General features: G+C 45.7%; 4 annotated features.

Moving 5' to 3' along the window:
- Positions 411–992: an enhancer, noted in NCBI's record as "OCT4-NANOG-H3K27ac-H3K4me1 hESC enhancer chr18:10577856-10578437 (GRCh37/hg19 assembly coordinates)". NCBI's record gives its function as "activates a minimal SCP1, AML or CMV promoter by ChIP-STARR-seq in naive H9 embryonic stem cells {active_cell/tissue: H9 hESC(naive)}" and the evidence as "EXISTENCE:reporter gene assay evidence [ECO:0000049][PMID:30033119]".
- Positions 17,935–18,437: an enhancer, noted in NCBI's record as "H3K27ac-H3K4me1 hESC enhancer chr18:10560411-10560913 (GRCh37/hg19 assembly coordinates)". NCBI's record gives its function as "activates a minimal SCP1, AML or CMV promoter by ChIP-STARR-seq in naive H9 embryonic stem cells {active_cell/tissue: H9 hESC(naive)}" and the evidence as "EXISTENCE:reporter gene assay evidence [ECO:0000049][PMID:30033119]".
- Positions 18,065–18,359: a silencer, noted in NCBI's record as "tiled region #9434; K562 Repressive DNase unmatched - State 25:Art". NCBI's record gives its function as "represses a minimal TATA promoter and a strong SV40 promoter by Sharpr-MPRA in K562 cells {active_cell/tissue: K562}" and the evidence as "EXISTENCE:reporter gene assay evidence [ECO:0000049][PMID:27701403]".
- Positions 18,790–18,849: an enhancer, noted in NCBI's record as "active region_13083". NCBI's record gives its function as "activates an Ori minimal core promoter by ATAC-STARR-seq in GM12878 lymphoblastoid cells {active_cell/tissue: GM12878}" and the evidence as "EXISTENCE:reporter gene assay evidence [ECO:0000049][PMID:35858748]".

Below are 25,838 nucleotides of genomic sequence, written 5' to 3'. Positions count from 1 at the left end.
AACCTATTGATTCATAAGAGGGACTAGTTCTGAGGCAGGCACTGGCTGTGCTAGAAATTAATTCACTAATCAATTACTCTCACATCCCCGGTCTGCGGGATATTTCTGTGCGATGGATTCCTCCTGCCCCACTGAGCTGCGGCTTTGGTTTTTATAATAAGATGGTGGCGGCGGGAGGAGCCAAGATGGCCGAATAGGAACAGCTCCTGTCTACAGCTCCCAGCGTGAGCGACGCAGAAGACGGGTGATTTCTGCATTTCCATCTGAGGTACCAGGTTCATCTCACTATGGAGTGCCAGACAGTGGGCGCAGGTCAGTGGGTGCGCGCACCGTGCGCAAGCCGAAGCAGGGCGAGGCATTGCCTCACTTGGGAAGCACAAGGGGTCAGGGAGTTCCCTTTCCGAGTCAAAGAAAGGGGTGACAGACGCACCTGGAAAATTGGGTCACTCCCACCCGAATACTGAGCTTTTCCGACGGGCTTAAAAACGGCGCACCACGAGATTATATCCCGCATCTGGCTCAGAGGGTCCTACGCCCACGGAGTCTCGCTGATTGCTAGCACAGCAGTCTGAGCTCAAACTGCAAGGCTGCAGCGAGGCTGGGGGAGGGGCGCCCGCCATTGCCCAGGCTTGCTTAGGTAAACAAAGCAGCCAGGAAGCTCCAACTGGGTGGAGCACACCACAGCTCAAGGAGGCCTGCCTGCCTCTGTAGGCTCCACCTCTGGGGGCAGGGCACAGACAAACAAAAAGACAGCAGTAACCTCTGAAGACTTAAATGTCCCTGTCTGACAGCTTTGAAGAGAACAGTGGTTCTCCCAGCACGCAGCTGGAGATCTGAGAACGGGCAGACTGCCTCCTCAAGTGAGTCCCTGACCCCCGAGCAGCCTAACTGGGAGGCACCACCCACAGGGGCACACTGACACCTCACACAGCAGGGTACTCCAACAGACCTGCAGTTGAGGGTCCTGTCTGTTAGAAGGAAAACTAACAAACAGAAAGGACATCCACACCAAAAACCCATCTGTATATCACCATCATCAAAGACCAAAAGTAGATAAAACCACAAAGATGGGGAAAAAACAGAACAGAAAAACTGGAAACTCTAAAAAGCAGAGCACCTCTCCTCCTCCAAAGGAACACAGTTCCTCACCAGCAACGGAACAAAGCTGGATGGAGAATGACTTTGACGAGCTGAGAGAAGAAGGCTTCAGACGATCAAATTACTCTGAGCTACGGGAGGACATTCAAACCAAAGGCAAAGAAGTTGAAAACTTTGAAAAAAATTTAGAAGAATGTATAACTAGAATAACCAATACAGAGAAGTGCTTAAAGGAGCTGATGGAGCTGAAAACCAAGGCTCGAGAACTATGTGAAGAATGCAGAAGCCTCAGGAGCCGATGCAACCAACTGGAAGAAAGGGTATCAGCAATGGAAGATGAAATGAATGAAATGAAGTGAGAAGGGAAGTTTAGAGAAAAAAGAATAAAAAGAAATGAGCAAAGCCTCCAAGAAATACGGGACTATGTGAAAAGACCAAATCTACGTCTGATTGGTGTACCTGAAAGTGATGGGGAGAATGGAACCAAGTTGGAAAACACTCTGCAGGATATTATCCAGGAGAACTTCCCCAATCTAGCAAGGCAGGCCAATGTTCAGATTCAGGAAATACAGAGAACACCACAAAGATACTCCTCGAGAAGAGCAACTCCAAGACACATAATTGTCAGATTCACCAAAGCTGAAATGAAGGAAAAAATGTTAAGGGCAGCCAGAGAGAAAGGTCGGGTTACCCTCAAAGGGAAGCCCATCAGACTAACAGCGGATCTCTCGGCAGAAACCCTACAAGCCAGAAGAGAGTGGGGGGCCAATATTCAACATTCTTAAAGAAAAGAATTTTCAACCCAGAATTTCATATCCAGCCAAACTAAGCTTCATAAGCGAAGGAGAAATAAAATACTTTACAGACAAGCAAATGCTGAGAGATTTTGTCACCACCAGGCCTGCCCTAAAAGAGCTCCTGAAGGAAGCACTAAACATGGAAAGGAACAACCGGTACCAGCTGCTGCAAAATCATGCCAAAATGTAAAGACCATCGAGACTAGGAAGAAACTGCATCAACTAACCAGCAAAATAACCAGCTAACATCATAATGACAGGATCAAATTCACACATAACAATATTAACTTTAAATGTAAATGGACTAAATGCTCCAATTAAAAGACACAGACTGGCAAATTGGATAAAGAGTCAAGACCCATCAGTGTGCTGTATTCAGGAAACCCATCTCACGTGCAGAGACACACATAGGCTCAAAATAAAAGGATGGAGGAAGATCTACCAAGCAAATGGAAAACAAAAAAAGGCAGGGGTTGCAATCCTCGTCTCGGATAAAACAGACTTTAAACCAACAAAGATCAAAAGAGACAAAGAAGGCCATTACATAATGGTAAAGGGATCAATTCAACAAGAAGAGCTAACTATCCTAAATATATATGCACCCAATACAAGAGCACCCAGATTCATAAAGCAAGTCCTGAGTGACCTACAAAGAGACTTAGACTCCCACACATTAATAATGGGAGACTTTAACACCCCACTGTCAACATTAGACAGATCAACGAGACAGAAAGTCAACAAGGATACCCAGGAATTGAACTCAGCTCTGCACCAAGCAGACCTAATAGACATCTACAGAACTCTCCACCCCAAATCAACAGAATATACATTTTTTTCAGCACCGCACCACACCTATTCCAAAATTGACCACATACTTGGAAGTAAAGCTCTCCTCAGCAAATGTAAAAGAACAGAGATTATAACAAACTATCTCTCAGACCACAGTGCAATCAAACTAGAACTCAGGATTAAGAATCTCACTCAAAACCGCTCAACTACATGGAAACTGAACAACCTGCTCCTGAATGACTACTGGGTACATAACGAAATGAAGGCAGAAATAAAGATGTTCTTTGAAACCAACGAGAACAAAGACACAACATACCAGAATCTCTGGGATGCATTCAAAGCAGTGTGTAGAGGGAAATTTATAGCACTAAATGCCCACAAGAGAAAGCAGTAAAGATCCAAAATTGACACCCTAACATCACAATTAAAAGAACTAGAAAAGCAAGAGCAAACACATTCAAAAGCTAGCAGAAGGCAAGAAATAACTAAAATCAGAGCAGAACTCAAGGAAATAGAGACACAAAAACCCTTCAAAAAATTAATGAATCCAGGAGCTGGTTTTTTGAAAGGATCAACAAAATTGATAGACCGCTAACAAGACTAATAAAGAAAAAAAGAAGAATCAAATAGATGCAATAAAAAATGATAAAGGGGATATCACCACTGATCCCACAGAAATACAAACTACCATCAGAGAATACTACAAACACCTCTACGCAAATAAACTAGAAAATCTAGAAGAAATGGATAAATTCCTCGACACATACACTCTCCCAAGACTAAACCAGGAAGAAGTTGAATCTCTGAATAGGCCAATAACAGGATCTGAAATTGTGGCAATAATCAATAGCTTACCAACCAAAAAGAGTCCAGGACCAGATGGATTCACAGCCGAATTCTACCAGAGGTACAAGGAGGAGCTGGTACCATTCCTTCTGAAACTATTCCAATCAATAGAAAAAGAGGGAATCCTCCCTAACTGATTTTATGAGGCCAGCATCATTCTGATACCAAAGCCGGGCAGAGACACAACCAAAAAAGAGAATTTTAGACCAATATCGTTGATGAACATTGATGCAAAAATCCTCAATAAAATACTGGCAGAACGAATCCAGCAGCACATCAAAAAGCTTATCCACCATGATCAAGTGGGCTTCATCCCTGGGATGCAAGGCTGGTTCAATATACGCAAACCAATAAATGTAATCCAGCATATAAACAGAGCCAGAGACAAAAACCACATGACTATCTCAATAGATGCAGAAAAAGCCTTTGACAAAATTCAACAACCCTTCATGCTAAAAACTCTCAATAAATTAGGTATTGATGGGACATATTTCAAAATAATAAGAGCTATGTATGACAAACCCACATCCAATATCATACTGAATGGGCAAAAACTGGAAGCATTCCCTTTGAAAACTGGCACAAGACAGGGATGCCCTCTCTCACCACTCCTATTCAACATAGTGTTGGAAGTTCTGGCCAGGGCAATTAGGCAGGAGAAGGAAATAAAGCGTATTCAATTAGGAAAAGAGGAAGTCAAATTGTCCCTTGCAGACGACATGATTGTATATCTACAAAACCCCACTGTCTCAGCCCAAAATCTCCTTAAGCTGATAAGCAACTTCAGCAAAGTCTCAGGATACAAAATCAATGTACAAAAATCACAAGCATTCTTATACACCAACAACAGACAGAGAGCCAAATCATGAGTGATATCCCATTCACAATTGCTTCAAAGAGAATAAAATACCTAGGAATCCAACTTACAAGGGATGTGAAGGACCTCTTCAAGGAGAACTACAAACCACTGCTCAAGGAAATAAAAGAGGATACAAACAAATGGAAGAACATTCCATGCTCATGGGTAGGAAGAATCAATATCGTGAAAATGGCCATACTGCCCAAGGTAATTTATAGATTAAATGCCATCCCCATCAAACTACCAATGACTTTCTTCACAGAATTGGAAAAAACTACTTTAAAGTTCATATGGAACCAAAAAAGAGCCCGCATCGCCAAGTCAATCCTAAGCCAAAAGAACAAAGCTGGAGGCATCATACTACCTGACTTCAAACTATACTACAAGGCTACAGTAACCAAAACAGCATGGTACTGGTACCAAAACAGAGATATAGATCAATGGAACAGAACAGAGCCCTCAGAAATAACACCGCATATCTACAACTATCTGATCTTTGACAAACCTGAGAAAAACAAGCAATGGGGAAAGGATTCCCTATTTAATAAATGGTGCTGGGAAAACTGGCTAGCCATATGTAGAAAGCTGAAACTGGATCCCTTCCTTACACCTTATACAAAAATCAATTCAAGATGGATTAAAGACTTAAACGTTAGACCTAAAACCATAAAAACCCTGGAAGAAAACCTAGGCATTACCATTCAGGACATAGGCATGGGCAAGGACTTCATGTCTAAAACACCAAAAGCAATGGCAACAAAAGACAAAATTGACAAATGGGATCTAATTAAACTAAAGAGCTTCTGCACAGCAAAAGAAACTACCATCAGAGTGAACAGGCAACCTACAAAATGGGAGAAAATTTTCGCAACCTACTCATCTGACAAAGGGCTAATATCCAGAATCTACAATGAACTCAAACAAATTTACAAGAAAAAAACAAACAACCCCATCAAAAAGTGGGCGAAGGACATGAACAGACACTTCTCAAAAGAAGTCATTTATGCAGCCAAAAAACACATGAAAAAATGCTCATCATCACTGGCCATCAGAGAAATGCAAATCAAAACCACAATGAGATACCATCTCACACCAGTTAGAATGGCAATCATTAAAAATTCAGGAAACAACAGGTGCTGGAGAGGATGTGGAGAAATAGGAACACTTTTACACTGTTGGTGGGACTGTAAACTAGTTCAACCATTGTGGAAGTCAGTGTGGCGATTCCTCAGGGATCTAGAACTAGAAATATCATTTGACCCAGCCATCCCATTACTGGGTATATACCCAAAGGACTATAAATCATGCTGCTATAAAGACACATGCACATGTATGTTTATTGCGGCATTATTCACAATAGCAAAGACTTGGAACCAACCCAAATGTCCAACAATGGTAGACTGGATTAAGAAAATGTGGCACATATACACCATGGAATACTATGCAGCCATAAAAAATGATGAGTTCATGTCCTATGTAGGGACATGGATGAAATTGGAAATCATCATTCTCAGTAAACTATCGCAAGAACAAAAAACCAAACACCGCATATTCTCACTCATAGGTGGGAATTGAACAATGAGATCACATGGACACAGGAAGGGGAATATCACACTCTGTGGACTGTTGTGGGGTGGGAGGAGTGGGGAGGGATAGCACTGGGAGATATACCTAATGCTAGATGATGAGTTAGTGGGTGCAGCGCACCAGAATGGCACATGTATACATATGTAACTAACCTGCACAATGTGCACATGTACCCTAAAACTTAAAGTATAATAAAAAAAAATAAAAAATAAGACGGTGGCACCCTAGCGCAATAAAGAACAGTGCTGGCCAAGAGTTTCTAAGTGTCTGGAAACAAATCCAGGTGTGCTGGGACCTTACTGCCCCTGCTGTGGCTGGGGAGTCTATGAGAGGAAATCTCAGTGAGTCACCTGGCTTGGGTGAGGACAGGGCAAGCAGGCACAGAGAGCAAAGTGCAATGCCATCCTGACCCTGAGATGTTCCCCTCCATCCTCAGGCCCAGCTTCCCAGGGAACTGGCACAGACTGCTGTGCACCCCCAGACTGGGTACGGGAGGCTCCCCCAATGGGACTCTCATTCTCTGGGATGCAGGGAATTCTACCAGCCCCGCGTGTGTCCCATGGTCAGTTTCAACAAAGAGCTTACAACCAGTTCTCCAAAACAATTAGTCTTGACCTGATGAGACTGAATTCCTAAGCTCAGGGGTGAGATTGGCCATGGTCCTGCCTGTGCTGGGAGCACTGGTACCAACCCAGCAGGGTCACTGTGGCCCTTGTCCAGTTTTGCAGCCACATGCTGGCTTTTCTTTACCTAGTGAATGGGCAGGAACAGAATGGTCCCCAAGGGGCCAGAGATCCATTCTTGTCCTGGGAGTTGTGAGTGTGCACAGGATGCAGTTGCCTTCTGGAGCTGCCTGTGGGGTCTCCACCCTGGCAGAGATGGCCACATTGTGCTCCCAGAAGCAGCTTCCTGGCCCCATGTCTTTGGCCTGATTCCCCATTTGTGGTTATTTAAAGCTTACTACAGACGACAGATACACCCAAATTTCTTAAATATGTCCCTTTAGGAAGGCTATCCCCTCCTCCTGCTTCCAAACCTCACCTCCAGCCACCAAAACAGCCAAGCCTGGAGGTCGATACTTGCCTCCACTCCCAGAGGGGGCTGTGGAGTGTCTGGAGAAGAGAGCCTTTGGGTTGTTGTGGGCAAGTCCATGCATAGCTCTACCCTGATCCACACTTCCAGGACCTGGACTCAAGCCTCCTCATCAAGGCACTGGACTGCCTGCTCAGGGCCTCCATGGCCTGAGATTCTAGGAACCCTCAATTCCTATGTTTAGATCCATTGATCATCCTGGCCCTCTCTTCTGGCTGGACAGCTGCCTAGTTCTGAGGATTAGGGGACATCCAAATTCTGTAGGACCTGAAGCTTATACAATTTGAAAGTGTCTTTAAGAAAAATATAAAAATAAGAATACAAAATTAACGGCCAGGCGCGGTGGCTCACGCCTGTAATCCCAGCACTTTGGGAGGCTGAGGTGGGTGGGTCACGAGGTCAAGAGATCGAGACCATCCTGGCCAACATGGTGAAACCCCGTCTTTACTAAAAATACAAGAATTAGCTGGGCGTGGTGGCATGTGCCTGTAGTCTCAGCTACTCGCGAGGCTGAGGCAGGAGAATCAGTTGAATCTGGGAGGCAGAGGTTGCAGTGAGCACAGATCACGCCACTGTACTCCAGCCTGGCGACAGAGCGAGACTCCATCTCAAAAAAAAAAAAAAAAAAAAAGAATACAAAATTAGGTACAAGTGCATCTTTATTTGGCAGGAGAAAAAAAATCACAGCACTCAAAAATTTTAAAAAGTTAACAAGTACCATGAATGTCACAACATCCAGAAAAAAATTTAATTTACTCCGTGTTATAATTTTTTTATTTTTGTATTTCTTGAGACTGTCTCACTCTGTCACTCAGGCTAGAGTGCAGTGGTGCAATTATGGCTCACTGCAGCCTTGAACCCCTGGGCTCAAGCAATCCTCCTGCCCCACATTCCTGCATGGCAGTGACAACAGGCACATGCTACCATGCCCAGCTAACTTTTTAATTTCTTTGTAGAGATGGGGTCTTGCTATGTTGCCCAGTCTGGTCTTGAATTGCTTGCTGGGCTCAAGCAATCTGCCTGCCTCAGCCTCCCAAAGTGCCGGGGTTACAGGTGTGAGCCACTGTGCCCAGCCTGTAATTTTGTAACAATTTCCCTTATATTCTAGGATTTCATACTCTTTGTTCTTCTTTTTATATGACAATGATTTTATACTATTTTTCTATAAAGAGAATAGATAGTCTTCTGTAGCATGATCGGTCAAAATTTATTTTCTATTATTGATCATTTAGAAAAGCTCCTTTTGACCTAACAGCTTATTATGGGTAATGCCATGTCAAATTTTGTCAAATTTGGGGAAACTTCTAGCGTGTTTATTTTATACATAAAATGTAAGATTTCAGGACATTTCAAGTTTTCTTACATAGTAGCTAACAACAAACATATTTTAAATTATCAATGTTTATTAACCAGTTTGTCATTGATGTTCTCATTGTAATGGCATGTTACAAATTTTGTTAGTATCAATGATGTCAGCGTTTCAATAAATCAGCCAGAAATCTAAATCAATCTCTTTTGGCTTGCAGGGCTTCAGTTGAGAGGTCCGCTGTTAGTCTGAGACATTGAATCAACCTGAATGCCCATCAATGATAGACTGGATAAAGAAAATGTGGTACATACACCATGGAATACTATGCAGCCATAAAAAAGGGATGAGATCATGTCCTTTGCAGGGACATGGATGGAGTTGGAAGCCATTATCCTTGGCAAACTAACGCAAGAACAAAAAAACAAATACCACATGTTCTTATTTATAAGCGGGAGCTAAATGATGAGAACACACGGACATATAGAGGGGAACAACACACAGTGGGGCATACTGGAGGGTGAAAGGTGGGAGGAGGCAGAGGATCAGGAAAAATAATGAATAATAGGCTTAATACCTGGTGATGAAATAATCGGTACAACAAACTCCCATGACACCAGTTTCCCTGTGTAACAAACCTGCACATGTACCCCTAAATTTAAAATAAAAATAAAACCTCAATCATCACCCATCATGTTAGCGTGCTTCACTCCCCTTAATTCGCAGCTGCCTCTCAGTTAACTCATGTCCTGCTGCCAGCACACCCTCCCCTAAGCCTCCTATGCACAGATCTCCATCTCCAAGTCAGTTTCCAGACAACTGACCTGTCCTGGGTTGAACAGTGTCCCTCCCAACTTCATGTACCTCTGGAACCTCAGAACGTGGCCTCATTTGGATATAGCATCCTTGCGGCTATGATTGGTTAAAGTGAAGTCATACTGAATTAGGGTGGGGCCTAAACCTAATGACCTGGAGTCCTTATAAGAAGAGGAGAGAGAGCACAGAGACAAGAGAGAAGGAGGCCAAGTGAGGACAGAGGCAGAGATTGGAGCCATGAAGCTGCAAACCCAGGAGCTCCAAGGACTGCCAGCCACCATCAGGAGCCAGAAGAGGCCAGCCCGAGAGGGTCCTCCCCGAGAGGTCTCCCCCGAGAGGCTTCCAAAGGAGTGTGGCCCTTCTGACGCTTGGTCTCCAGCTTCCTGTGGCACTGTTACAGCTGCCCTAATACATGACTCCAGACACTCCCCTCAGCCGGACACCAACATTTCTCCAGCCATATACTTCACACAGGCGATCTGAGATGGGAAGAGAGGTTGGCTTACATTAGAACATTTTACACAACCATATATGAACACGATGTTGGGGCTTCTTCTCAGTCCTAGAAGTTGCCAATGCATGGCTGCTTGAGGGAACAGGCTAGGGTCCGCCCACCACAGAACCAAGCGTCCATCTCTGAAGACATCCGGGTGAGCTGCAGAGCACAGCCCAGGCATTTGTGTTGCCAGGACTCACAGGACCATTTATGAAATGTGATCCTCCACAAACAGATGCTCAGAATAGATGCATGGATGGATGGATGAAAAGCAACCTTGATGTAAAATATAGTCCTTATCCCTAAATCTTAATAACTGACAGTGCAGAAGAGATGCTGGCTGTATTGTACAGCACAGTGGAATGAGACAGATGCCATCGAGTGCCCATTAGCGCAGGCTCTGGGAGCTGAGAGAAGAGGGGAGCCTGGGCAGCAGCTGCTGGAGCCTCCCAGGACTGGGCAGCAGAAGACCAAAATCCTAAAGGATAGGAATGTTCTACTTCTTTTTTAAATTAATTAATTTTTTTTTTTTTTTTAGATAGAGTCTTACTTTGTCACCCAAACTGGAGTGCAGTGGTACAATCTTGGCTCGCTGCAACCTCTGCCTCCCAGGTTCAAGCGATTCTCCTGCCTCAGCCTCCTGAGAAGCTGGGACTACAGGCACCTGCCACCACACCCAGCTAATTTTTATGTTTTTGTAGAGATGGGGTTTTGCCATGCTGCCCAGGCTGGCCTTGAACTCCTGGTCTAAAGCAATCTACCCGCCTCAGCCTCCTAAAGTGCTGGGATTACAGGCATGAGCCACCACACCCAGCCAAGGAAAGAAAAGTTCTAACAAGCGAGAGGCACCCTCCCTCCTGCAAGGCTGAGAGTAGTGTGCTCTGATGCCCCAGGGGAGCTGAGTCCCCACTCAGAAAACTTGTCTCTACAGGAGAAGGCTGTGTTCCCTTTTTGCACAGTGGATTTTTTTATTTATTTAATCTATTTATTTATTTATTTATTTTTGAGATGGAGTCTTGCTCTGTCGCCCAGGCTGGAGTGCAATGGCATGATCTTGGCTCACTGCAACCTCTGCCTCTCCCAGGTTCATGCAATTATCCTGCCTCAGCCTCCCAAGTAGCTGGGACTACAGGCGCCTGCCACCACGCCCGGCTATTTTTTGTATTTTTAACAGAGACGGGGTTTCGCCATGCTGGCAGGGCTGGTCTCAAACTCCTGACCTCAGGTGATCTGCCCCACCTTAGCCTCCCAAAGTACTGGGATTACAGGTGTGAGCCACTGCATCCGGCCTAGTGCAATGGATTTTAGAGCAGACTTGATGTAGCCATCAACGTTGTGAAAACTGGCTTGAGGCCTAATGCCTATTTCCATTTTCCCATAGCAAGGTTTATGGGTGCAGGAAATGTGTATGAGACCTAAGATAATGAATTTTTATACCTGTGAAAGTGGAGAAAATATAAATTTAAAACAACCTGCAGGCAGAGGTAATTAAGTAATTTTTCATAAATACTGAGTCTTCCATTCTTTAGAGACCTTGAAGTGCACCTGGTCCCAGCCCCCTCATCACAGAAAAGTGAAATGCAGAGGGGCTGAAAACCCTGCTTATGTCACAGCAGGGCCCACTGGGTCCTCATGCCTGACCCCCAGGCCATCACTTTCCTGTCATGCCAGGAGAAGTCCCTGCATGTCAAGTAATTGCTTTCAGAGATTAACCAGAGGAGAAGGTGTAAACCTGGCATCTACTTTACCCCTATATGAAACAGCTTTAGGGATGACATGTAAGCCAGAGCTCCACAGTTAAACAGCATGGCAGCTGAATCCTCACAAGGACCTTTTTGGAAAAAAAAAAAAAAAAAAAAGGTAGTGGCCAGGCACAGTGGTTTATGCTTTTAATCCTAGCACTTTGGGAGGCCGAGGCAGGAAGACTGGTTGAGGCCAGTTCACGAACAGCCTAGGTAACAGAGTGACACTTCATCTCTACAAACATTTTTTTTTTTAAATTAGCCAGGCATGGGGGTGCACACCTGTAGTCCCAGTTACTTGGGAGGCTGAGGCAGGAACATTGTTTGAGCCCAGGAGGTGGAGGCTGCAGTAAGCCATGATCAGTGATCAGGCCACTGCATTCCAGTCTGGGGAACAGAGCAAGACACGGTCTCAAAAAAAAAAAAAAAAAAGAAAGAAAAGAAAAGAAAAAGAAGAAAGAAAGAAACCTCTCAGCCCAGGCAAACAAACCAAGATGCAAGATGGCTGGTCACCCTAACTCTTCAGAGAATTCCCACAGTATTTGTGGTTTTCCCCTCGCTTTCTTTTCCTATGTCTGGTGGATTGGTAAACTCTTTCTCAATGATATATTAGATTAAATATGTAAATCCAATGAAAACCTATGAGAACAGTTGCAAATTACCCCACCTCCTGGATCAAAGTACAATTGGCTAAGTAATGGAAATTGTAATGGTGATGAGCCTTCAATCTTTACCCAGGAAAGTCAATGAAGTTGTGTTTATGCCCTGTCTGAAGGCAGTCCTGCTCTTCCATGACTTACACATGAACAGTGTTCCTGATGTTTTGGGAGTCAGAATATGGATCGAGGTGAGTCAAAGTTAACCAATGAATGAGTAATGAATTGGTTAACAGAAAGATTATTGTACCTTAGTTTCCTCATTTACCAATCAAATGTAGTAACAGTATGTACTTCGTAAGATCCTTACAAAGGTTAAATGAGTTAATACCTGCAAAAGCACTTCGGGGAGTGCCTAGCACATAGGAAGGACTCTAGACGTGTTCCTAAAAAAAAATAAATAAAAACTGCGTGGGACAGTTTTTGTTTTTGTTGTCTTTCTGATGCAGCTAGGAGCTATGTATGCATGTGCTTATACACAGTCACACACAAACTCATGTGAAGAACATGCGCACAGGAGTGAATATGAGAAGATTTGAAAATATATTTGAACCTCACTTTAATGTAAGGCCAAGATTTAAACCAAAGACAAATGAAGTTGACTCTTTTCTTCATGAACAATTTCTTTAAAGGGTGAAACTCCCTCATTTACAGAACTTTTGGCTCACACATAGCTGTGTTCACACCACTTTCAGCCAGCTGTCCAGACCGCGGGAAGCGGGACGCGTGGGCAGCCTTGCTTCTGAGCTTCCACCTCCACTGCTTGCCTGAGAACATCAGGGAATCTGCCTACTTCCCTTTGTTCAGCCAGTAGCAGATGTCTGAGCTCACTTTATTAGAAGGAGTTTGCTGGGTCACAAGGGGTTAGAACTTGGGAGGGGAGTTAATACAAGCACCTGAAACAAGCACAGTCCAGACAAAAGTGACAGGCAGATGGGTCCCTGTTTCTGGGGGTCGCGGTGGTTAAAATGACAGAGAGATGGGCCCCTGTTTCCAGGGGTCATGGTGGTTAAAGTGACAGGCAGATGGGTCCCTGTTTCCAGTGGTCACAGTGGGCTTGGCACCCAGTGAGCGGGGTGGAATGAACTGGAGATGACATGGCAGGAGGGGCTGGAAGGGGCACTCGAACCTGACCTTTCCAGTGGGAGGGCTGGGGTGTGTGGACATGAGGGGCGGGGCAGAGGGAGCCAGGCGGACGCACAGCTAGGGTGCTGTGGGGCCAAAGGCAGGGAGTGGTTTGAGAAAAGCACATGGAGTAATGTAAAGAGATGAGACAGCGGGCACCGGCATGAGAGCCCAGACTCAGGGCCTCCTCACCGACAGCCACATCCTCCTGGCCACAAGGCTGGATTTCAGCAGGGTGTCTTGTTCCAAAAAAAAAAAAAAACCAAAAAAAAAGTGTATTGATGTGCTCAATTCCTATCAGTCAAGCCTATGGTAACCATGATAAAAATGATATTTTCACAATGACAGAGATGGTGACAACAATCAAGACTTGATCATTGGGACAAGGAAGGATTGGAAGAACCAAACACAACATGAAGGGAATTAAGTAGGAGGTAGAGGAATGGGAGGAGGGAGTTGGGTTCATGGAGCTTCACGTCAACGAGATAATAAACAACTGGGTGGGGCTGAAATTTTAGAAGAGTCATGGCTGAAGATAGGGATTGAAAAAGCACCAACCCAGAGTTGAAAAATTAAAGCCATGAAAAACTGGGGCTAAAAGCAGGTGTAGGGAGAAACAGAGCCTGGGAGCTAGGGTCCCTTGAAAGGCAGGTGGGTCAGGGCCCCTGGAACTGAGGTCCAGGTCTCTGATGACCATCAAGTCAATGCCAGTCCCTCCAGCCCCCAGACTATAGCCCCTGATGGTGAACTATGAACATCTTGTATCCCACTTCCCATCCAAGCCCTGGGGTGCATCCTGGGGGCCGATGACAGTGTCAGGCATCCCTGTGCTTGCCATGGGCCAGCACCCCTGGGTGGGTGGAGATGGGCTGAGAGCCAGGCTGCTGTGGAGAAAACACCTGAAAGAAGGTGTCTCCCCATCCCCCTTCAGTGCTGCCCCCAAGACCTGAGCCGTCTGTGTTGTGGTCATCCCCAAAGTAGGTGAAGGGAGGATAGAGTTTCCCAGGTAAGATGGAGCCTGTGAGAACCCAGGGACCCTGTACCCTGGCCTGGCGTGACTCAGGAGGCGGATCTGGTGCAGAGGCTGAAATTCAAGAATCATCAGAAAAATTACCCACAGGAAGTACTGTGTCCACAAAGAGAGAAAAGAGAGAAAGGGGGAGCCCCAACCCCTATTTAAAAAGTCTGGAAGAGGAGAAGGGGCCCCCAAAAAAGGGATGAGGTGAGCCAGGATGGGACCGATACCTTTGGGAGGGTGAGCAGACGCCCCCTGTTCTGCTCTGCTCTGCGAGCCCTGCCCTGATAGATCCTGTGTCTACGCTAAGTACATGCCAGCTGGTCCTCACACGAGAGCACAGGTCTTCCTTCCTGGCGGTGGAAATGCAATCACGGCCTGAGGCCAAGAGCCAGGGCCCAGGGCAGGGCACACCACACATAGACGCTTGGACCAAGCATAGAAAAGGGGTGGATTTCACCCTCAGGGATGCTGAGCTGAGCCCAGCGAGGACATGGCATTTTCTGGGCTGAGGACAGGTCTGCTGAGTCAGAGGCAATGCAGTCAGACTTCAGATTTGTACTCTTGCCACCGTCACCTGGGATAAATGCCAGCCGTTTCACCTTCATTGGTTCCTTTGAGAGACCAGATGTTTTCCTTTGGAAATTCGGAATTTGAAACATAAAACTGAAAGAGCAGTGCCAGCCTGTCCATAAACCGGTTCCCTGCCGTCCAGAAGCTGCCAAGCCACCACCCAGCCTCAGCCTGGCAAATGGACTTGACCACGTCAGGGTTGTTGGGTTCACCTTCTACATCCTTCCCAGAAAGGCCCTTCTAAAGTGACTTCCCAAACGTGTGCCAGGCATCATTCTAAGTGGCTTGCATATGTTTCCTCATTCAATTCTCCAACAACTCAGCTGTGAGGACTCCAAAGAACCCCATGTAAAGGTGGAGAAACAGAGGCCCAGAGAGGGAAAGTCACTTGCCCAAGGTCATGTGGCCCGGGGCACTGGCATTGACCCCTGCAGGGCGCCTCCAGAGTCCTCTCCGGTAACCACTGGACTACGCTGCCTGTCAAGGGTGGATCAGCTCATTTGGGGTCCTTAAGCTCCTTGAAGCGTAAATCGTGTTCTATTCTCTTCCGTCTTAGCACATCCTGACAACCATGCTAAGCAGGAACGATCACCGAAGAGGAATGATCACCAAAGAGGAAGCTAGTGTAGAGGGGTTTATGGGTTTTCTGATATCACACCTGGAATTGGAATCCTTGTCTATTAATTCCAAGTCCTGGGCCTTAACAACAGCAACAGAAGTAGACTTTTACCCTAGGTCTAGGGAGCAGAACTACAGCATGTGGCTGGAAGAAGCCCCTGGCAGCAAACGCCACCCTGGATCACACTTGATAGAGAAAAACACCAGGGACTTAGAAGCAAAAGATTTCATTGTGAATTTCTACTCCACCAACTCAATGATTTAGGGTAAATTTCTTAAATTTGTGGAAATGATCCTACCCTGATAATGGTCTTCCTATTGCCCAGGGTTGTTAGGCATTGAAAACTAACGATGCCCTCTGTAAACTGTAAAGTGCTGTGTGGCTGCCAGTGCAGTTGTGGTTGCCAATGATAATAAGATATCTTTTCTCACTAGCGCTATGAGGGTTATGAAATGGCTATTTCTCACCATGGTAAAAATTCCTTCTCTCGGGCAGGCAAGAGCTCAGTGCTGCTGTGCAGCAGAAGCTTGAACTCAGAAAACCTTCACATCACTGCCTTTGAGGTGTGGGGTGGACAACCTGCGGGTAGTATATCATGGTTGTGTATTCCTGGGATTTCGTCCACAGAGTGTGAGTGGATGTTTTCTGAGAGGTCACTACAGTCCAGTGTGTTACAGACGTGCTGAGTCAAACAATATTCAAGGGCTTTCTTGTCTATAGCACTTCTCAAAACCTTTAATAGGCTGTGGCATGTAGTTCCAGAAAATATTACATAGAGTTTCTTAAACATTTTCAGCTGGGTTTTTTTTTTTTTTTTGGAATTTTTTTCAAGGAGCATCTCTTCAGAATAACCATCTGTGACTCACTCTGAGAAATGCCGCATGCTGGAAAGAGTTAAGAAACAAACAGTTGAGATGAAAAAAGTACTGGGTGGGCCCTCGATTCTTCAGAAGGCTCATACCTTCACCTGTGGAGCTTCTAGTGCAAATCCATCTCCCCCTCTCGCTCTTTCTCTGTGCACTAATCGCTTACATATCATTGTTACTGGGAGCAGCAAAGCCTGTCTGGGCAGGGTGGTGGATATCCTGAAGGCAACTCCCACAGTGTTTTACTGAGGAACCTTCATGCCTCCCTGCTTCCAAGCACTTACTGCCTAACGATCTCTGTGTAACTCAGAGGAGGGTAGGGTAGGGCAGGGGGTATTTTTCTTTTTCTTTTTTTTTTTAAGACGGAGTCTGGCTCTGTCACCCAGGCTGGAATGCAGTGGCGTGACCTCAGCTCACTGCAAGTTCCGCCTCCCGGGTTCACACCATTCTCCTGCCTCAGCCTCCTGAGTAGCTGGGACTACAGGTGCCCGCCACTATGCCTGGCTAATTTTTTCGTATTTTTAGTAGAGACGGGGTTTCACTGTGTTAGCCAGGATGGTCTCGATCTTCTGACCTCTTGATCTGCCCGCCTCGGCCTCCCAAAGTGCTGGGATTACAGGTGTGAGCCACCGCGCCCGGCCAGTAGCGGGTATTCCTATCAGAAACTTTTGAATGTCTCTGGGAAGCTAAACTAGGAAAACCTTCCTCTACTCCAATAATCTAGTTGGAAAGGGAAAAAAGAGCCAAGGACTTTGTCTTTCGGTGACATTGTGAACTTTCAAGGAGGAGAGAATAAATCCAGTCAGTCAGACAAAAAAGATGACAGGTTGCTTGGGGGCCCAGACAATACACACCCTGATGTAGCCTGTGTAGGATTCCAGGACTCAGAGAGAGGCAGACAAATGAGGGGTGACCGGTAAGAGCTGCTTCCAGAGCTTCAGAGCAGACCTCCATCCTACATGACCTGTGGGGGGAAGGGGTCCTCTGAGTGCTGTGGCTGCTAAATTGCCAGGGTTGGTTTGTCAGACACTCCTGCACTGGGTCCTCTAATGCAGGGTTCTGTGGCTTGGGGCTAAAACAGTGCTTAGATGTGCCTCAAAAGAATATTCCAGACCAGGGCTATCCAATAGAACTTTCTGCAGTGATAGAGATGCCTTCTGTGTATGTGTGCACTGTCCAAAATGGTAGCCAGTAGCCACATGGCGCTATGGAGCATTTGAAATATGGCTAGTGTGACCAAAGAAGGGAACTGTATTTTATTTTTCATTTTAATTAACTGAAATCCTAACAGCTGGCTATCCCATAGGACAGCGCAGATCTATGATGGTGTGTGCAGACATTTCCTAAGTGTTTACGGCAGAGGGGTGAAAAAGAGGGATCTTGCATTTTCAAATCTGTCTGTGGTTCCCAGGAGGGGACAATACCCCAACCCAGGGTGCAGCCCCTGCACACGTGTGAGGACATTTTTGGCTTATCATGGTTCTTGAGGGATGCCATGAGTATTTCCTGAGTAGGGCCAGGGATGCTCAATGATGGGCAGTGAAAGAACAGACCACACAGAGAACCGCCCTAGAGAAGCAGTGCCCAGGACAGAGCCTCAGCCACACTCAGAACAGCTGTTATCCACCATGTCATTTTGTCACGGCTCAGGGCCAGGAAAGGGACAAGGGGTGAATAGAATAAGCATTTGCACGCCGAGTGTCTGTGTACATGCATGTGTACTTCAAAGAACACACCCTGGCTGCAAGTTTTCATCTGATCGGTAAGCGCAAATCCTATGCACCAATTCTATAATTTATCCTCACTCTCTGTCGGTAGGGTAGTAGGCTTGGGATTGGTCCGCGTAAAGTCTTGGTCGCAGTGGGCCCTGGTGCTTTAGTCAGGACCAGCTTTCTCCCTGCTCTGGAATCTGTAAGCTTGCTCTGCGCCACCTGGTGGTTAGAAAAATTCTGACCCTGGACTCTCCTTGATAAACCTGAATTGTTTCTTATGCCAAAAACAGAGGGAAGGCGGGGAATAAATTGCAAATAAACGTGTTCGTTCCATTCCAAAAACGTTTGCTAGTGGAAGGCAGCATGAGGTGGTTATAAGCTCCGATGCCAGGGAAGCGCTCTGGAGAAGACCCTGACAACGAGAGGGCCTCACCGCCCCGAGAGCTCACCAGGCACAAGCACCTCCCAGGGGACGCCCCGGCTAAGCTCCCTCCCAGGAAAGCCCCCTCAAGGCTTCGGGACAGACCTAACTGGGTTCCACCATCTTCCCTCCCTCCCTGCCCGTTTCTCACGTGGGCTGCTGGCTTCCCTCCATCTCACCTTCCCTCACTCTCTGTTTCCCTTCTGTTCTGTGATCTACTCATGTCGCACCCCTTGTGGCTGCTTCTCCACAGACTTGCAATGTGCCCTCTCTGCCCTGTTTCCTTCATTCCGTCTGTAAGCAGGGGGCTCATGGCTGCTGCTGGACACACAGCCTAGGCTGGGGAGGGGCAGGGTGAGGGGGCATTTCAAGAGGGCAACATGGACAGCCTGTGGCGTCGTCACCAAGCCAAACATGCCCTGTACTTTAGAGAGCAAGGGCTGAACAAGGAAGCCTGTGGACACAGGCACGCCAGGTCACAGCTGCTCAGAGGCGAGTCAGAGATGTCTGGATGAACTTGGGCTCTAACTTCAGCAGCCTTTCCTATGCACTCTTATGGGGTCTCAGGGTTTGCTACTGCAGCCTGAGAACATCCTGGGCTTCCTTAAGCCTCCCCCTGCTCCCCACAATGGTGTCCTCCCCTCACTCCCAGGGGGAATCTCTGAGCTTAATAATTCAAGCACGCTCAACTGTGACAAGGGACCCGTGTCAGCATAGGAAATGTTATCTGCCTCTGTTGATTCCTCAGTAAAGAACCTCAAAGGCCTCAGCAAATGACTGCGTGGCCTGTGAGAACCCTTGCCACCCTCCCAGGGTGGACCTTGGATCTAAGATCCTCACAGCCCATGGCAAACTCCTCCAGGATGGAATAAAAGCCAGGGTCAGGGGTGCAAGGGGCTCCCAGGTGCACATCTAGACATGAAAGCTGCATGCCAGAGGGGGCCATTCATGCCTCACCTGAAGCCCCTGACACCTGGCTTCCACATGCTGAAGTCTGGCTCAGACACCTTGTGCTGGAGTCCCGGTAGCTCCACAGGCAGGTGGCCAGTGCAAATGTACAAGGCCCACACTCTGAAGGCCCTGCACGTGGGGATGTCTTGAAGTTCTCAACAACTATCTTAGAATTTATGTTTTGTAAGCTAAGTCTGATGGGACAGTGGAGGCTGCATCCTCCTGCAGGGTCCATCCAATAATGGGCCATTGGCAGCCCACTCCCCGACCCTGCCCAGAAAGTGCAGCTGCACTCCCCATCAGAGATGGGCACAGGGAGGGTTGGGCTGGATGCACACCTTGTGCCACGTCACAAGGCATGGGTCCACACACCCACGCAGGTCTGTTCCTGAAGCAAGACATGGAATAGCAAACGAAAAACACCATGGCAGGTCAACAGAGTGACTGCAGAGGGAGGTCTCTGCATTTCCTGCATGTTCATTTTGCACTGGGCCCTGCAAATCATGTAGCCAGCCTGGCTGTAGAGCACCCCCTAACTCCAGGGTCACTGCCGGCTGGAGTCACCCGGACCAGGATGGATTACCAGCAGCTTCTGGAAACTTTTGGCACCCCTACCATTCTAGCTCACTTGGGGAACATGTACGTGCATGTCCTGGACCAGGTGGCTGTGCAGCTCAGAGATGTCAGGGAACTCCCTCCAGATGCCTGGGCCACGCTGATTTCCACTTGTCAAGTAACTTCTGTCATCCTGTCCCTATTCTCACTGGAATTTCTGGTGACCATCAGAGCAATCTGTGCCTGTGAATTTTCTGTCTCTCCTGTAGCTGTCTACAAGGCACATGGAGGAGGTAAGGAGCTGAGAGGATGGGGACAGAGCCAGGGTCTGGTGGCCAGTGAGTCCCTGTGGGCCAGAGGTCACAGCTTGCCACTCTGTCCATATGGAGACTCTCAGCCCATGCTCACCGCAAGAACAAGGACTGAGGTGTGAGGAGCCTCATGTGTCTCAGTGGGACTATGCTAACACCTTTGCCCCACTCACTTCCTCTTCTTGTACTGTCCACTCTCTTCTCTGATAATAGGGATACATTAACTCACTCTTTTTGTCAAGAGAATCAATCAGTTAGGATCATAGCATTACATTATTTAAGATGATGCTCAGCTCTGAAAATAGGAATGGTGGTGGGGGCGCACTCAGTCCTTCAGTACTAACAAGTGCTCTTTCATCATAAACCAAAACTTTGTTGGTGTCACTTCTAATTTCATCCTATCATTTAGGTCAATGATAGAAACATACAAGCACTCAGAAAAAAAGGCCAGGTGCTTGGAAAATTCTGGTCTTTCTCCTGTATAGATCCTGGAAGAGAGGCATTCGGGCTGGCTAGGGGATTTGCTTCCCATTCTGGAGAATGAAGCCTCCAGAGACATGAACAAGAGAATGAGATGTTCCAAATAGGTTTGTTCTCAATTATCTATGACCAAAAGCATCCCAAAGACTGACAGGGTCACAATGCTAGGGCGCAAGACCGTCCTTCACTTATGGGCCTGAATCATAGGTGCAATGGTGGTTTTGTGGTCCTTCAGCTAAGGACACTTGACTTTGTTATTGCAGAACTAAGCACATATCATTGTTTTATTTAGGACTGAACCTAAATCACACTTAAAAAATGAAACATGAGTTCAATTTTTAACACAACCCTTTCAAAGATAGGATCCAACAAGCAGTCTATGTGATAAGCCACTGAAGTGCTGACTGTCCCCGTCAAGGTCTTCGGTGCAAATCATGTAAGGTGTAGATTGTTCCACTTCTTGAACTGTAAAGCCCAACCTCTAGAAAGGGCTACGGAAGTACTTTCAGTAAAGAGGAGAAGCAAGATTTCTGTGTATAGGTTCAAATATTTGAACAGGGCCGTTCAGACCAATTTTGTTTCTAATTTCTTCTTTCCCAATCACTGCCCACCTCACGTATCATTCCTGTGAAATCACTGCCAAATCTCATCTTAGCTTCAGGCAATAAAAGCTTTTGGTTTGGCTCTGAGATTTGGAAAAGGTGGCACCCAAGAATCATGGAAGAGATCCATGCTGGGCCCTGAGAGGCAGGTAGCTGAAAGCATTTCCATGTGCTTACGTATTTCTCAAAGCACATGTTGAAATCCTGAATGTGCCTTGGCCTACTATCTAGTAGGGTATGTTCAGTCTCTAAAGTAGGCATGGAGGGCTGGGGAAAACAAAGAATCCCGTAAGTTAAATAAAATTCTTCATGAACTGAGTAGCATGGCGTCTATTTGTTTTTAAAAGTGTTGGGTAAGTATTGGTGAGTAGAAATGAGTGGGAACCACATTACTAAAGGCCTGCCAATTTCAATCAAAACAGAATAGCATTTGCTGAGTGCTTTTGCTCATGTAGTTATTAACAGTTATTGAAAGTGTAATATGTGCCAAGCACTGTTCTAGGAAGAGGGAGAAAGGGTGCCATGGCTCTCGTGGAGCACATTTTAATGGGGGAGACACACAACGAAAACATCAACACACAGCACAACTTCCAGAGCCGGGGAGTGCTATAAAGTCAAATCAAACAAGAGCAAGAGCAATCTGGGGTGGAGGGAGGCGATTACAGGTAGAGTAGCTGAGGACAGTCTTGATGTTTATCGTATACTTTTTTTTTTGGTGAGACAGACTCTTGCACCGTCGCCCGGGCTAGAGGGCAATGGCACGGTCTTGGTTCACTGCAACCTCCACCTCCTGGTTCAAGCGATTCTCCTACCTCAGCCTCCCAAGTAGCTGGGATTACAGGCACCTGCCACCACGCCTGGCTAATTTTTTGTATTTTTAGTAGAGATGGGGTTTCATTATGTTGGCCAGGCTGGTCTTGAACTCCTGACCTCGTGATCCGCCCACCTCAGCCTCCGAAAGTGCTGGGATTACAGGCGTGAGCCACCACACCTGGCCATTGTGTACTGTTTTTCAATCGCTCTTTACAAGAGCTTTGCACCTGTGAACTCTAACCCCACAACTGCCCTGTCAGCAGGTACCGTTGTCCCCAGGTTATCCGGTGAGGAAGCTAGGGCATAGCAGATGTCAGCCTCGAGGCAACATCCCCGAGTGGGGAAGGACCCAGACAAAAATCTGCAAAACGGCCTCTAGGCAGGGACCTAGACAGGCAGATCCTGTGGCCAACTGGGGAGTGCCCAGGCATGGGGACAGGATAGCTCCTCACAGACTGTCCTCAGCCACCATCAGGCCATGTTGAAAACCAAATGAAGTCTGCTAAAATGACTTAGGCTTTAGTCTGAAATGCATTGCACTGGTTATCAGGAAAGTTTGACTGTCAGAACAGGAACTAAGTTCACTCTCTCAGCCATCATCCTAATGTTTATTGTCTACCATTTTTAAATCACTCTTTACAAGAGCTTTGCACCTGTGAACTCTAACCCCACAACTGCCCTGTCAGCAAGTACCGTTGTCCCCAGGTTATCAGGTGAGGAAGCCAGCCTGCCTGGACCCCACAGCCTGCTGTGCGGTCCCAGTTAGGAATCCAAGGCAGGCAGACTTGCTCAGAGCCACACTCTCCAGCACCACACAATACCACTGCCATCGGCTTCAAAGAATCCCAACAGGAAAGCCCAACGTGCTTTTTAAGAGATATTAGAATAGTTTACAACAAAAGGTGCCTTAACCCAGGTTCATATTCTTACACATGGGGAAAAGGAAGAACTTCTTTAGTAAGAGTCAAGTGATGTCCAAATCCTGGGCTGTCCTTTACATGCTCAGGCCCTGAACCTTCACTTACCGATGCCGCTTCTGCAAGGATGCTCCCCAGCCAGCCAGGCCCTGCATCTGATGTTCCCCACGGTATGGTTTACTACTTGGATCAGAATTAAGATAAATGTTGAGATCTGATGGAAAAATGTTAAGTATGAGACATGAAAAAGCAAAGGGAGAAAGAAATCTCTATGACAGAGACCCTGATTTCAATCTTCCTGGATGTTCCAACTCCTTAGTGCAGGAAAATCTGAGACCTGAGATTACCACAGGATGAAAGCCATAGCATCTGATCTAGGAAACCAGCCAGTCTGAACCACGCTGCTTAGTTTTTAACAACCAAATGCTCACATTCCTATTTAAAAATCAAATTAAAAGCTCAACCTCCAATTTGGCCTACTGTTGTTTTTCATTTAACATAAATGACAGAAAACCAAGAAGCCAGTTCAAACAGTATCTCCTATTAGGAATATTAACATCAGAAACATTCAGAGTAAATTAATTCCTCTGAGTTTGTTTACTCACCTGAAAAATGGGGATAAGAGAATGACTGTCAGGGCTACATGTAATAATATGGTGAAGCCACCCGGAATGTGTGTAACAACGTAACAGCGACTGCTGTATGATTGCCTATATTGTTTTCTACTAAAGTCCTATAATGAGAATTAGGAAAAGTTAATAAAAAATAACTTCTGATTGACCTCAAATGCTTTAAGATGTAAGTAGATTGTATCATCCCTAGCATAGCTGGTTCTCCTCTCCCTCTGCCCCACAGGCGCCCAAAGGCTCTGGCCCCTTTATGATTTGGTGAACGAATGTAGGTCAGGTGTCTCACTTCTGGGATGAGCAGCACATTGCTGGTACAAGACCATCTTGAGTTCCTTTCTCCTATCACCGGGATCTGTGGTCCCTTGTTCTGCCCTGAGAGCAGCAGACATGGGGCAGAGCTGACCTGTGGTGGACATGTGGCACGAATGGAAATGAGCCTTCGTCATGTTAAACCAGAGATCTGAGGGTTATTACTGCAGCATAACACAGTCCTTCCTGACCATTCAACTTTTTATGAAGTCATAGCTTCCCGGTAATAAGACCATCTTATCTATAGTGGTGGTTGGTCCATTAAATTTATCAATATAAAGCCTACTGAATTATGAATTTATCAATATGACCACTAAATCGTGACCTAAAATGCATGAAACATGAAAAGACACGGGAACCAACTGAACAATAATAGATACTTCAATCCAAATCAAGTAGGGGAAGATAGTACTTTCAACCTGATTGTAGGTGCAGAATTCTTTCCATCCAAATCCCACTACAGAATGTTAAAATAGGTTACAAAAAACCATAATAATAAACCCAAAGACAAAGACTTTAAAATGCCATGGTCTACTGCTTTGTGAAACTGAACTCCAAGCTGAAAGGCACAGTCCTGGTGTCCCCCACTGACATGGTACAAAAACTAAAGTAAAAAAGAAGGCCGACCATGCTCACCTAAGTATGCACAGAATCTCCTGCAAGAATTTAGCACTCATGGCACACATCTCAGTCTTCGTGCTCCAACTGTGCCGTGGTCCCAACAGCATTCTGGCCCTCCCAAGAAGGTAAATTTGTTCTTCTTATTTGGCTAAATTAAATGACTTACCCCTGGGTTAAGTAAAGAAATAAGTATTTCATATCGATAAAGTCAACTTTAGTGATAATACTTTCTAGTTGTGCTTAGGAATAAATTTTATGATCATTATGATAATCTGTGCAGGTTTATATTTAAGGTTCTTAAAACATTTAACAAAATCTTACATATTAATCTTTTGATTTTCAATGTTTAATTGTGATTGAGAATTTTTCACAAACAGTATTTGAAAATCTGAAAGCTCAAATTACCATTATGTGTATGTTGGATTTACTAGCTTTACAAGAGTTACTTAAGTAGTGGGAAAAATTTTTTAAAGTTTTAAGGCTGTTTAAATTAGGCTCCTTGAAAAATTTAAGAGAGTCAGATATTAAAAAACTATCAAGGTAATGTAACTCTATGGGAGCTAATTAGCCAAGTTTGTGAAGTGGAGGTAATTATCTAACGGCATTTTATTCAGTGTCCTTGAGTATTAATTAAAAGCCATGTAAGTTGTTTCTATGCACAAAACCTTGTTGGAATAAAAACAATTCAGTGGAAAGTTTGTTTTCCTTTTTCAAAATTGGTGTTTGCCTCAGTCCTTCTTACCTTCAAGACGTTTTTAATATCCTTAAATTTAACTCATCACATTAAAGTCATTATTGAGGGTTTCTTGATGAGTCGAATGAAAGCAACACGAGGGGTGACAGCAGCAGGTGGACTTTGCTTATCCTTCCTGGCTATCTCCTCTTGCTGCTACAAACACAATAGTGACCACAAACCACATTCAAGACACTCCAAGGTGTCCTGGAAGAAACACAAAATCACACGATGTCCAACAGCCACTCGTTCTGCATTCTTTCTTACTTCAACTTCTCCTGAATCCAGGTATCAAATTATATTATTAATTTCCATTCCATGAAAGACAGGGATAATATTACATAGTTAGCATCCAATAAATGTCTGATTGTAAGTAAATCTGCTAGTATTTAAGGTGCTAATTATGTAAACAATTTCACATCAGTTCTCTTAGCCTCCTAATCATACATGGTTTTATCTCACTTAACCCAATCAAAGAATTACTCTCTTGGAAGAGGTATTA

The sequence above is a fragment of the Homo sapiens genome, chromosome 18 (genome assembly GCF_000001405.40).
Source record: "Homo sapiens chromosome 18, GRCh38.p14 Primary Assembly".
Lineage (NCBI taxonomy): Eukaryota > Metazoa > Chordata > Mammalia > Primates > Hominidae > Homo > Homo sapiens.
Note: the sequence above shows the minus strand (reverse complement) of the source record. Positions and strands in the feature narration are given on the sequence as shown.